Source organism: Homo sapiens, chromosome 6, assembly GCF_000001405.40.
Source record: "Homo sapiens chromosome 6, GRCh38.p14 Primary Assembly".
Taxonomy (NCBI): domain Eukaryota; kingdom Metazoa; phylum Chordata; class Mammalia; order Primates; family Hominidae; genus Homo; species Homo sapiens.
The window spans coordinates 3353265-3366415 of NC_000006.12; the positions used below are offsets into that span (position 1 = coordinate 3353265).

At 47.8% G+C, this 13151-nt stretch overlaps 1 protein-coding gene across 19 annotated transcripts in view, besides 3 other annotated features; it reads right to left on the reverse strand.

Annotated features, from left to right (window-relative positions):
* The window catches only part of SLC22A23 (solute carrier family 22 member 23), a 188078-nt gene that overhangs the window by 84292 nt on the left and 90635 nt on the right, over positions 1-13151 (reverse strand). The window contains exons 5-7 of one of the 19 annotated variants that reach the window (XR_007059328.1): positions 10267-10461; positions 9996-10181; positions 3447-3461 (exon numbers count right to left, since the gene is read on the reverse strand). The exons of 13 other annotated variants lie outside the window; for them this stretch is intronic. Coding sequence is in view for 2 of the 6 variants with exons in the window: in XM_017011183.2 (XP_016866672.1) it covers positions 3316-3461 (146 nt within the window). In the remaining 4 variants the exon portion in view is untranslated. 5 more of the 19 variants (XR_001743575.2, XM_047419241.1, XM_047419242.1 and 2 more) reach the window with 5 other exon arrangements.
* Positions 2879-3769: an enhancer, noted in NCBI's record as "H3K27ac hESC enhancer chr6:3356377-3357267 (GRCh37/hg19 assembly coordinates)". NCBI's record gives its function as "activates a minimal SCP1, AML or CMV promoter by ChIP-STARR-seq in primed H9 embryonic stem cells {active_cell/tissue: H9 hESC(primed)}" and the evidence as "EXISTENCE:reporter gene assay evidence [ECO:0000049][PMID:30033119]".
* Positions 11000-11500: an enhancer, noted in NCBI's record as "H3K4me1 hESC enhancer chr6:3364498-3364998 (GRCh37/hg19 assembly coordinates)". NCBI's record gives its function as "activates a minimal SCP1, AML or CMV promoter by ChIP-STARR-seq in naive H9 embryonic stem cells {active_cell/tissue: H9 hESC(naive)}" and the evidence as "EXISTENCE:reporter gene assay evidence [ECO:0000049][PMID:30033119]".
* Positions 11501-12001: an enhancer, noted in NCBI's record as "H3K4me1 hESC enhancer chr6:3364999-3365499 (GRCh37/hg19 assembly coordinates)". NCBI's record gives its function as "activates a minimal SCP1, AML or CMV promoter by ChIP-STARR-seq in naive H9 embryonic stem cells {active_cell/tissue: H9 hESC(naive)}" and the evidence as "EXISTENCE:reporter gene assay evidence [ECO:0000049][PMID:30033119]".

Consider the following 13151-nt stretch of genomic DNA (forward strand, 5'->3'; position numbering starts at 1 on the left):
TTTCCAGCATTTGAACAAAAAAAGGGAAACTCCGTCTGTGTTAGATTTCCTATACCACAGCCAGCTCCCCAATGAAGAGGTGCTGCCTGATTCTCCCAGCTGCCAATCTTGCCCTCTTCTACAGCATTTTAGTTAAAATAACTTCCTGTGTCTCAACATCTGGCTTGAGCGGTTTGGCTTCAGGCCTGAATCCCACTCAATGGGAAATGCCGTGACCCTCATGCTGGGATTCACGATGTCACCTGCTTGATTGAGGTGTTCATTATGCTTTACAAAATCACATGTATAAGACTATTAGGAAAACAGTTCAGCTGCAAATCACAAGACTAGGGCTACTGGAATTTTTGCTCCCAAATCACTAGATCAGTCAACCACTGCCTTTCCAGGTAAAGGGCTGTGCTCGCCTCGTCCCATTACCGAAGCTGTGATGTGGCTCTTCTGCCCTGTGCACTGCCACCCAAATGTACTCACGTGATTTCTGGCTTCCAGGGCTGCTGTTCCCAAGAGCTCCCTCCTCAGGAAGCCACACCATTCCCCCACCTTCTTAGTAGAGGCAGACTCTCCCTTCTACCACCAGTGTTTCCCAGGACCCCAGTTCTGGCCCAGAGCATGACAGCATCGAGGAAGCCTCATGCAGAGGCTCCTTACAGATCCCAGACTACCAACTTTTCCAGGTCTCCTATGCGTGGGCTGCTTTACTTTCTCTAAGAAGGCACAAGGAAAAATGCTGGTCCTTGGGTCGGTTGACTGAATCCTTTGATGTGACAGGTAGCTAAGCCACTTATCTGGACCCATAAACCTCCTTGGCAGGCCTGATTGGATTGTGGAAATTTCGATGGTGATCACATGTGTTTTCTCCTTAGAGTTGGCATGGCCAAGACAAGAGCCACATGCAACTTCTAAGCAAAACACACACACAGGCTCACACAAACACATAGCATGGTGCACTCCCAACGGAGAGGCAGTCAGGGCATTGGATGGGCAAAGACACTCCTTTCAGGACCCTTCAAAGGTAAATTCAACAGGAAGTGCACATTTACGGAGGAGCAAGTGACTAAAGGCACTCACAGACTTTTCCTTCTCTTGACTTGTGTACCTTTACATCTTTACATGAGGTGGGTTGGGTAAACAAAAGAAAATCTCAAGAAGATTCAGATTCTCTTTCCATGTCCCTGCTGCATTTAATAAGTTCCTCGATTGTAGTGACCACTGTACTGTGGTCAGATCCATCGATATAGCAGAGACTCTGTGCCTCAAAGGCAAGGCAATGTCTTTCCATCCTCAAGAGACCCAGCATCCAGCAGGCACTCAAGAAAGGATGGGTGAACCATTTATTAGTGGGTAAAGCAATGGATGAACTGAAACACAGTCTGTTTTTAGTTGATGTCCCAGTAAGAGTGTTAGGGGGAAGTCAAGGTGTTGGAGGGGTTGCTCTAGATTTCAATGATCCACACCATCTCTAATTTCTTACTAATTAATCAAATAGTGAATGTCTAACAAATGGGGAAGGTACTATGCTGGGCCAAGTAGCCATGTAATGGGTTTCTGAATCTCATAATTCAACATCATCTTCTTCAACTGACACTTGTCTTTCCAGGTCAATTAAGCAGGCAGCCTCATTAGTTCATGGGTAGACAACACGCAGAACAGACAAAGCAGGACCTGAGGGCCAGAGGGTGACAGTATCTAACTCTGCCCCTAAAAGCACAAGGCATTTGGACAATTTGTGCTACACTCTTTCCTTTAAACAGGCAACAGGAAAAACAATAAAAGATATTCCTACTACCGAGTTTATAAAAACACAAACAAAAAAAACCAGCGCCTCTCCACATGGCAGTATTCAAATCCTTATCTTTGGGCTCCTACCCTCTATCTGCTTGGAAACAGCTCCCTGTCTTTGTGGCCGCCACCCTCCCCAGCTAAAAAAAAAAAAGTCTCCCTCCAAATACTATCCAGTAGCTCTTCAAATAAAATGGGATGAATAGAGAGGCCTTGATAACCACCAGTTTTCTCATCTTCAAACTGGAAATCAGAAATAATATCAGTAAAGACATCGACTTATTAGGTACAGTGAGAAGCCTTTGAACTTAAAAGACGGGAGGAAGACAAGCATGCTGCTCGTGGGTTCGTCACACCCTGTTCTATGCAACAAAGCAACCCTCCCTGGGTCGAGAAAAAAAATCTCCATGATGATCTCTTAGAAATATAAATGTATTTATAGATAGATATTTTCCCTCTTACCATGTGTATAAGAGAACAGGACGTTGCTGGGCAGAGGGAAGTTATTGTGTGAAGGCCAAGGTCATAACAAGGTTACCGTTCTCATGAGTCTGGGCTAGGTCTGGGCCCTCCCGCCCCGCTCCCTGTATCAGCCCCACTCCCAGGCTCCAGAGCTAGGCCACTTGATGCCTGGTCAGTCCTTTCTGTGCCTTCCCAAATTTACTCTCAATTTCTGGCTCATCTACTATTCTCATTTGCTATTTCTTAAGTTCTGGGCCACGGGAGCCCAAGGTCTCACTCAGCCCTGCACAAACCCCAGCTCTCAAAGCCGGCGTCGCTCTCACTCATTCCCTGTCTCCGCATCGACACGGAGGAGCCACTGGATATAACGCTGAGGTATTAAAAAAAGAAGGAAGTTCAGAAAAACAAACACAGTACGACAGCATTTGTAGGAAGTTTTTTTTTAAAGGCAAAACTGTACAACGCAGTGTTCTAGATGTGGGAAAACCTAACGAAACTCATGAGGATGAAAAACAGCAAACGGGGTGGGGAGACTTGTGGACAGGGGAGGGGGAGGAGGCGGGGGGCGCGGGAGGGGGAGGAGGCGGGAGGAGGCGGGGGTGGGTGGAGGCGGGAGGGTGGGACTTATTAATGAGGCTTGTTTCCGAGTCCGGGTAGCAGATACACGTGACATCAGAAACATCTCATAATCACGAAAGAAATCGAAGCACGCGTGCTCTCTCGGGAGGGCCCTCCTTCTGCGTGCCAGCCCTTGGGATCTGGACTTCTGGCTCCTGGAAACATTCAAAAGGAAACCGGTGGGCCATGGAACCGCTGACAGGATTGGATGGTAAAACAGTGTCTTAGATCCACCCTCGGTGCCTACAAGGGTAACAGGCCACACCCCCATCTCAGAGATGGCAGCGACCTCATCCAAGGGGCAGGGGAAGCCTCAGAGGAGTGATTTTAGCAGCCTCTCACTTCCTCATTTGCCTGTGAAAATAAAGCTGACCCTAAACTTACCGGCTCTGCACTACCCTCCCGCTGGCTGCTTCATTGTCCTGGGCAAATCTTCAGCCCCAGAGACAGTAGTGTTTATTTTAGAACCAAACCCGCTGGCCAGGACACCATCCACGTGAAACATTTCTTCCTAAGCCTGAAGCTTTGTTGTAACCCTGTTGTCTTCCTCCTTATTGGCTCAGCAGTGAGATGGGCTGGCTTGAACCTCCAGGTCTTGAAACCTGCCCAAGATACCAACAACCACCTGTAATAAGGTGCAGGATCCCGCTCAAGCCCTTCAGAGCATCTGTGGATGTGTTACCTCATATGCCCTCACCAAATCCTATAAATAAGAATATCAAGTAGTATCCCCATTTCCAAGATGGGAAATGGCCCCTTCAAAGGTCAGGTCACCGACACTGTGATGCAGGTGGTGTCTCTAGGAGAGGCGCAGGCTTCTAGATCCCAACTGTCGTGGTTTGTTCTAAAGGCTGCAGCAGCCTGGACCATAAAGACAATTTTAAAGCAGTAAACCTAGCAATACAGCCTGGAAGAGAAAACCAAAACAGAGCCAAAAAAAAAAAAAAAAAAAAAAAAAAAACCCAAAACAAGGCAGGCACTGTAATGAAATGCTCACATTTACTCCAGTGCCCACATCTGCATTCCCAGAGTCTCAGAAATCCAGCAGGATTCCAATGCCATGGAAATATGTATCATTGTTTTTGCCAAACAAACTCCCTTACCTTAAGCAAAGGTCAAGTACACTGTAAAACTCCCAGTGCAAACAACCAGCTGGAGGACTTATCCCAGCCTCTGTAAAGTCTTTGCTAATAATTATCCAGACAGCTTTCCTAATTTTTATTTTTAAATGGGGTTGTGGCTCAGCAATAGTGTAAGGATTAATCGCCTTATCAATTAGCATGAGGAAAGGACTGCAAATACAAAGTAGGTGTGTTCTTCCTGGCTTTCTACCTGCTCAATTAGGCTCAGGTCTTAAATGATTTCCAAAATTGGACTACATCTACTGTGTTTACTTCATTCTAAATATCAAAAAGATATCTAAAAGCTTATCATAAAAAAATTTAGAATTTCCCTTTTTGGTTACCAGCCTAAAAGCTCCTTAGTTTAGGGACTGTGTTCTTATTCAACAAGCCATGCCCAGCTCCTGGTTCACAGAACACACTGAATAATGACAAATAATGGAAAACAGAAGGCGGCTGTGTATAATGAATGCATTTCATTCACTTATTCAGCAAGGAGGATGAGGTAGCACCATGCCAGGGGAGATGCCGAGATGAAGCCACACCACCGGCCTCAAGGGGCTCACAGTCTGATGAAGAGACACGTGCCTATAAGACACAGATGGGGTTCTGTGCTACAGGAATGCAAAGAAAGGGACGAGGCCTGGGGAAGACTTCACCAAAGAAGCAGCATTTGAATCTTCCCTTAAGGGAAAAGGAAGTAGGACTGTCCTGCCATGTGGGTGAGGGGAAGGGAAGAGGCCTGGGAGGAGAGTTTTCAGAGAGGCAACCAGCTCTTGCAAAGGCGGCCAGTGCAGAAGAGGCTAGACAGGTTAGGTTCTCAGTATCAAAGTCCCCAGGATGGAGAGAAATTGGAACCTTTAAACACTGTTGGTAGGGATGCAAAAATGGTGCAGCCATTATGGAAAACAGTATGGCAGTTCCTCAAAAAACTAAAACTAGAACTGCCATATGATCCAGTGATTCTACTTCCAGGTACTTATCCAAAAGAATTGAAATTAGGATCTCAAAGCACTTGACGTGAGCGCTCCCACGTTCACTGCAGTGTTATCCACAACAGCCAAGATATGGAAACAACGCAGAGGTCCACTGATAGGTGAAGGGACACACGAAACACAGTGAAAAATACAATAGAATATGATTCCGCTTAAGAACGAATGAAATTCTGACACGTACGACACGTGGATGAACTTGGAGGAATTATGTTAAGTGAAATAAGCCAGTCACAGAAGGACAAATACTACATGATTCCACTTACATGAGGCATGTAAAAATAGGCAAATTCAGAAAATCAAAGAGTGGGCTGATGGTTGCCGGGGGTAGAGGGAGGGAGACATGGGGAGTTGCTCGTCAACTAGCATCAGCTTTCAGGCAGGCGAGATGAATAAGCTCTGGAACTCTGCTGCACACATTGTGTCTATAGTTCACGATACTGTGCTGTACACTGAAAAAACCTGTTAAGAGGGTGGGTCTCATGTTAGATGTTCTTACCACAAATAAAATTAAAAAATAAAATAAAAAAGGCCCCAGGAGAGTTTCTGTTTCATCAACCCAAGGAAAACACCGGAAGGAGTCACAGCTCCAGTGAGGAAGAAGTGAGAAGGGATCTGCCATCGGGGGCTGGAGGGATGGTGGGAACCTTTGCCATTTCAAAGGGAAGCCCTGGCTCCCCTCGGGCACAGCATCCTGGGTGGGGTCTGCACCCCGAGCTGCCACCCATTGCATTTCCATGTCAGCGCCATGTCAGGTGCGCTGTGCCGATGTCTAATCAAGTCTCAGTCATTCAGGATGAAGAGAGAATAGGGAATTCAAAATACATAACTGCAAAAATGAAAGCTCCTTTATTAATTTAGTGCAATACAGAGACGTCCCAGAACAACACGGGCTGCATCCAGAATCACAGATCATTTCAACTAAGAAAAAGATGGGCACCGAGAAGGAGAGCGAGGAACATGCCAGCTGAGACTCATTTCATTCTAGGACAGTACTAGAATGAGCATCTCACTGGGAATTCACCGCCCTCAGGCAGATAACAGATGCTGCTAAGCTATGCTAGCTGGTGTTGCCACGTTTATTCTTCATCACTGAGTGGTTCTCCTTAGGTCACACATATAACTATCCATCTGAGTGCAAGTTTAAAACAAAACAAAAACTGAAGAGGACATACAGATGGCCAAGAAGCACATGGAAAGATGCTCAACGTCACTGTCATCGGGGAAATGTACATCACAGCGACAATGTGGTAGCCCTTCACATCCATCAGGATGGTAGCTGCTGTCAAACAAACAGGAAATAACAAGTGCTGACAAGAATGTGGGGAAACTGGAACCCTGGTGCACCAGTACATTCCTGGTGGGAATGTACAACGGTGCAGCCAACTGGAGAAAACAATATCCCTGTTCTTCATAGAATTAAACAGAGGATTACCATCTGACTCAGCAATGCCACTTTTGGGTATAACCCCCCAAAAGTGAAAGCAAGGACCTGAAATGATATTTGCACACCTATGTTCACGGCAGCATATTCACAACAGCCAAAAGGTGGGAGCAACGCAGGTGTCCATCAACAGATGAATGGATAAGAAAATGTGATCCATCCAGAGGATGAAATATAACTCAGCCTTAAAAAGGGAGGCCATATCCAACATATGCTATAGTATAAAGGAAGCATTTTTTCTTTTTTTCTTATTTTCACTTATTTTTGTCCTTAGAGGTCCTTGTTCTGAGGGAATCCTGAAGACATTATGCTAAGTGAAGTAAGCCAGTCACAAAAGGACAAATATTGCATGATCCACTTAAATAGGTTCTTAGGTAGGCAAATTCATAGAAACAGAAAGTAGAAGGGTGGCTGCTCGGGACTAAGGGATGGGAATGGGGAGTGTTTATTGGGGACAGAGTTTGTTTGGGAAGATGAAAAGACCTCTAGAGATGAAGGGTGGTGATGGCTGTGTAAAAATGTGAATTACTTAATGCCACTGAATGGTACAATTAAAAGTAGTTAAAATGGTAATTTTTATGCTATGTTTATTTTACCATGATAAAACAAACACCCCCCTCCAAATAAAACAACAACAAAAAAGGCAAGTCCGTAGTATTGGCCTTTGAGAGCTCTGACCTCAGCTGTGCCCCGCCCACCCATCCACCCAAGGATCCTTAAACTCAGGAGGATCAGAAAGGCTCAATCACCAGGAGGTGAGGTGAGTCACAGAGCTCACTGCATTGCCATTCTTGGGGGCATTTGTCTCATCTGCCTTAAAATACAGAACTGCATTCTCATAGTCGGGTTTCAGGCAACGGCTCAACCGTGGAGGGAGGTCACTTTGGGGCCTTTGCACACATCCGAGTCAACCTCAACAGTCTTAGTCCACACATCTCTGTATTTCCGGTCACTTATTGCTATGCTGACTGCTCATCTAAGCCCCAGATACTGTCCCAGTTATTTAGGAGACAAAGAGGCCCTCAAGCTGGCCTGAGCCCCCAAGGGGTCCTCAGTGATGTCGACACGACAGGTGTGCAGGCACCCCCATGCAGACGGGCCCCTCTGATGGAGACCTGCGTTCGGCCAGGCAGGCCCACAGCTGGCGTGGTCATCCAGGGCGGGAACGGGATTGGACGAAGCCTTCCCTCGGGCAAAGATGCTGGGGTGGGGAACAGGTGCAGCAGGAACAGAAGGTCAGAGCGTGGTACTGGGGTGACGAGAGGCGCTAGCGAACATCAGCAGCTGCGGGGAGCTCGAGGCAGCAGGGATGTCCAGGCCACAGAAGGTGTCCCACATTTTATATTCCTGTTGTTTGTATATTTTCTATTTCTACCCACCCCCCCCATTTTATGCCTGACCCCAAGTTAAACTGCTTAAGGACTTAAGACCCCAACCAGCTGTGACTTAGATCAGGGTTTCTCCCCCAAAGGAGCCTGCAGCAGTGTCACACAGAACACACCCCCTCAACTGTCTTTCTACTGAAAAAAAAGAGAGGGAAACGTGCTTCAATAAGAGGGACACAGGGACCCCCAAGCCCTGCCCTTTAGAGAAGCTTAAAGACTCCTACATCATTCTTTTTTTTTTTTTTTTTAAGGAATTGGGTCCCTTCCATCTGTGGCCATGACCGTTCATCCCACAGCCTGTCCTCCTCTCTTGAGAGCTGTCCTGGCTCAGGCTGTGGCTGGATTCTCAAGCAGCATCATGTGGCCAGGTTAGGAGCAGGATGTCACAGAGAGAGGGGTCCAAAGTTCAGCTGCTGGGAAAGGCCACAAAGACTGGGGTCCCAGGAGAACGGCGACCTGCCTATCAGTTCTATCTCTAAAACTCTGGGGTTCGACTCTCCAGACTTAGCTTCTGTTCCCAGCTTTACAGAGGACAAGGGGCTGGGCCCATGAGTCTCTCTGCATCAGCAACACCTCACTCTCAGTTGAATTCAGACTCGAAAGCCCAGTCTCAACACAGCAAGCCCCATGGGATCCAAGAAATACTGCTCCATGCGTCTGTTACCCAGTTGTCTTTTTGCTGAATCACATTGTGGGGGCAAGAAGAAACATGAGGCCATCTCAACAGATCGCAAAGGCCTCCACGGCTGGGACACCTGTCAAGCGGGAAACACGTGCCGGTTCTCACGCTACGACCTAGGGAGATGAAGACATGGTCCCTACCCCGAGGGATTTACAATCAGGCATGGAAAATACTCCAAATCCAACACCACACTGCCACATGCTGATGGTCATGCCAGAGTGCACACAAGGACTGTAGAAACATGGAGGAAACCTATCAGATCATTCTATACACCTTCCCTTCAGATTCATGTGCTTGTCAGCAAATTAAAGGCTCTGTGAGGTCCTCTAGGGAAAAATAAATTTTTTTTTTAAGCAAACTTTAAAAAAATTAGCGGCCAGGTGTGGTGGCTCACGCCTGTAATCCTAGGACTTTGAGAGGCCGAGGTGGGTGGATTGCCTGAGCTCAGGAGTTCGAGACCAGCCTGGGCAACATGGTGAAACCCCGTCTCTACTAAAATACAAAAAATTAGCTGGGCGTGGTAGCATGCGCCTGTAGTCCCAGCTACTCGGGAGCTGAGGCTGGAGAATCGCTTGAATCCGGGAGGCAGAAGTTGCAGTGAGCCGAGATCACACCACTGCACTCCAGGCTGGGCGACAGAGCGAGATTCCGTCTCACAAAAAAAAAAAATAAAATAAAAAATAAAAAATAAAAATTAGCATGCATTTTCATCAGGGATTGAAACACCCACCAAGGATACTGTTTCCTGAACCAAACAGTTGTTAACCAGGCAAAGGCCATGACCTTTCTGAGATCTCTTCATGGCCCTGGGCTCCATGGGATTGAGATTAATGAGCACAGCAAAGCCCCCCATCCCATCTCCTTAGCAAGGTAACAAAGGAATGGAACTCTGGGGCCAGGCAGAACCCCCAAGATGCCATCTACAAATCTGGCCTCTCCGTCTCTCCACTACACAGAGTGAGGATGGGAGAACCAGAGCCCAGCTCTCTCCATGGAGAAAGGCTGCAGGTCCCAGAAGCAGGTAGACCTCCAGGACCCAGGAGAGGAAGCATGAATGAAATGCAGACATTAAGGACCATCGAATAAAGATTTTGAGGGCAAGGGGAATGGGGTGGTGGGACAGGGGAATGTCCTGTGCCAGCTTTTGCCATGACCACCTCTTTGTTTCCATGTGCGCGTGAATGAAATATTAAATAGGCTTGGCCAATTAACAACCTTTAAACTCTGGACTGCTCAGAGCCCAAGGAAGAGAGTTTTGATCTGCATTCCCACTTGACCTGCTCAGCACTCGGTGGGACATCCCGCAGCCCACTGCCTGCAACTTCTGATGAGCATCAGAAATGGGCTCTCCGCTCAGCTGGGACATGAGGCATAGCACACTCAGGCAGGGGCATGTTTTTTGTGACTTATATCTTTGCCATTTTAAATTAACACAAAATACAAAAGCAGTTGGGTCTCCCCTCTACCAAAGTCAGTTTTCTTTTCCTGCAGCCCTGGCTGGCCCATCCTCACCAGGCGCAGCAGCAATGGGTGAGCTCCGGCAGCACAGCACATGTGTCACAGCAGGATTGAATGGTCAGCAATTGTCTGTAGGGCTCTGTCCCAGGGGCCAGGCCACCGCCAGAACAGGACCTAAGACAGGGCCCAGGCTTCCTCCTCGGGGGACTGTGACACCCCAGGACACAGGCTGAGGAGAGGCTGTGAGGGAGAAGGGGAGGGGATGGAAAAGAATGAGCAGGAATATGAGTCATGGTTTTGTCCCCGCCCATGGCCTGCTGCTCACCTTGATGTGACAGGCTGCTGCCTGCGGCTGGCCCTGGGCCCAGTGTGGGCACCTGGCAGTCACGCCCAAACTAGGATGTGGCACCTTCAGCACTAAGGTGCCTGCTTGCAATTCTCCAGAGGACAATGCCACCCCAAAAAGGGAAAAGCACAGCGTTCCAGCCTGGTCCTTCCTGGCTTCAACCGCTGCCACGTTCTGGAGAGAAAAAGGGGTATTTTTCTGGGGTGGTGGTGGGAGCTGCCTCCTTGGCCTCTGCTCAGCCATCTACTACATGGTTACTCCAGTGCCCCTGCCCCCATCCTGGTCCTCTCTTGGGCACTAGCTCTACATTCCAAAAGGAGACAGGACATGGGGCAGAGCCAGGGACTGGCTGACCCTCACAGGCATGAGTTTCCTCTGGGCATGGCAAAGGCATGAAGGACATTCGGGTGTAGTTGGGTGGGCCCCAAACGGTACTGACTTTATCTGACCTGGCCCATGGGCCCACACAACAGAAGGCTCTGGCATGGTCTGACATTTGTGCATCTCACCCAATAGAGCTTTTGCCTTCCCTCTCTCCTGGGGCACTTTCACGAACCTCTTTGGGATGAGTCAAAGGTAATAGAAAGCTCATTATCTGCACACAAATATGCAATATTGTATTGCTTGGAAATGAACACTAACTGTCCTTATGGTGCCACCAAACACTTGTACGGGGTTTCATGGCTTCTAAAACCTCTCCATGCAGGTGAGTGCATTCGATTTTCACGGCAACTAGGTAAGATGTAATAGGCACAATTCCCATGTTACACTTCAAGGAACCAACATCAGCTCTCTACAGTAAATTACTCAAAGTTACAGAGCTAAGAAGGTCTCAACTGTAGGACCTGAACCTTGGTTTTCTGACTCTAGGACAAAGATTTTTTATATTTGTTCCCTCCTTAAAAAAAAATTCATTCCCTTCTTTAAAAAAAAGTGAGGTCACACCATGTGATGAGGTCACACCTGGCCCAGATGCCCTGCTCACACCATGTGATGAGGTCACACAGGAGGCATCTAAATTCAACACAGAGGTGAGGGAGGGCATTGGGAAGTGATCCTATTGCTGTGTTTCCAGGGTCAGCGAGAGGTCTCACGCGTGCAGGGCACAGCTGGAGGGAGCAGTTCGCTCCCAGCTGAGGCAGCCACACAGGAGCAGGAGGCACCTGACAGGAGAAGCGCAGCATGGAGAGTGGCAGGAGATGAGCTACTGTTGTCCACCATCCGGGACGTGCAGGTTAAGACTTGGAATCTGGCCTGGGGACAGTCAGAGCAGCTGAGTGGACATGAAGCTGAAGAGTGAGGCATAGGTTTGGGTTTGGAAAGCTCACTCTGGCGGTGTGGTGGAGAGGGGGTAGGGGGACGGCAAAAAAGTGCAGAGGTCCCTGGAATGATCTGAGCCCCAGGGAGCCAAGGGGACATTAAAGGGCCGAGGGAATGAGGCACAGGTGTCTGCTGTATAGTTTATTAACCAATAAACTGCCCTATGGCTGGGCGCAGTGGCTCACGCCTGTAATCCCAACACTTTGGGAGGCCAAGGCAGGCAGATTACCTGAGGTCAGGAGTTGGAGATCAATCTGGTCAACATGGTGAAACCCCGTCTCTACTAAAAATACAAAAAAATTTAGCTGGGCATGGTGGCACGCACCTGTAGTCCCAGCTACCAGGGAGGCTGAGACAGGAGAATCACTTGAACCCGGGAGGTGGAGGTTGCAGTGAGCCAAGATCACGCCACTGCACTCCAGCCTGGGTGACAGAGCGAGATCCTGTCTCGAAAAAACAAACAAACAAACAAAATAAACCGCCCTAGCTCCAGACGGACATGACCTCTGTTCTTTGTTTAATTTGGGGAAACACAGGAGTAGACTACAGTGAAGCTGCTTTGACACAGAACAGAATTTCCTAAAATACTGGCTTGTAGATGCGGTTCAGGCAGGCACTTGGTCTGGCTGAGCCTGAGTGAGTGAGTGCTACCATTTAGGTGCTGGAGATGGAGCAGTGGGCGGACCTGATGCCCTTGCGTAGCACAGTCTCTATTTCATAGTGTTTCTGGCAAAGAGCTAACACTAAAGAAAGCAAATTAGACCTATAACTCTGGAAATGATCCTCTTGGATTTTCCAGGAGAATCCTACTAAAAAATATTTTTTTCTGTTGTTCCTATAGACAAGGGCTGAACCATATGTTCAGTCTTTTCTCCTAAAAATTTTAAAACATTTAAAAAACAGTCATCATGCCCTTAATGCATGCATCCTTAACCTTAAGTCTACTGGAAACAGCAGCAGCAGAAGGAAAAAGGAAAGCAGAAAACTTTATCTTCTGGCCGACATACTTTGCTAACCAAAGACTTGTTAGTTTCTTGTCTGTTCTTCACTTAATTTCTCTCTGGCTCCTTTAATTTGCCACAGTGATGATGCTGCATCGGAGTGTGCATGTCATCATGCACCAGCAGAAGACACAGTGGAAGGTCCATGGGTGTCAGCATCAGAAAGAGAAGGGTATGGCTGGGCGCGGTGGCTCACGCCTGTAATCCCAGCACTTTGGGAGGCCAAGGCAGGTGGATTACAAGGTCAGGAGATCGAGACCACCCTGGCTAACATGGTGAAACCCTGTCTCTACTAAAAATACAAAAAAAATTTAGCTGGGCATGGTGGCATGCACCTGTAGTCCCAGCTACTAGGAAGGCTGAGGCAGGAGAATTGCTTGAACCCGGGAGGTGGAAGTTGCAGTGAGCCGAGATCACACCACTGCACTCCAGCCTGGGTGACAGAGCAAGACTCTGTCTCAAAAAAAAAAAAAAAAAAAAAAAAAGAAAGAAAGAAAGAAAGAGAAGGGTATGAGGTATGATGTCACTACGTTAGGGCTGTGT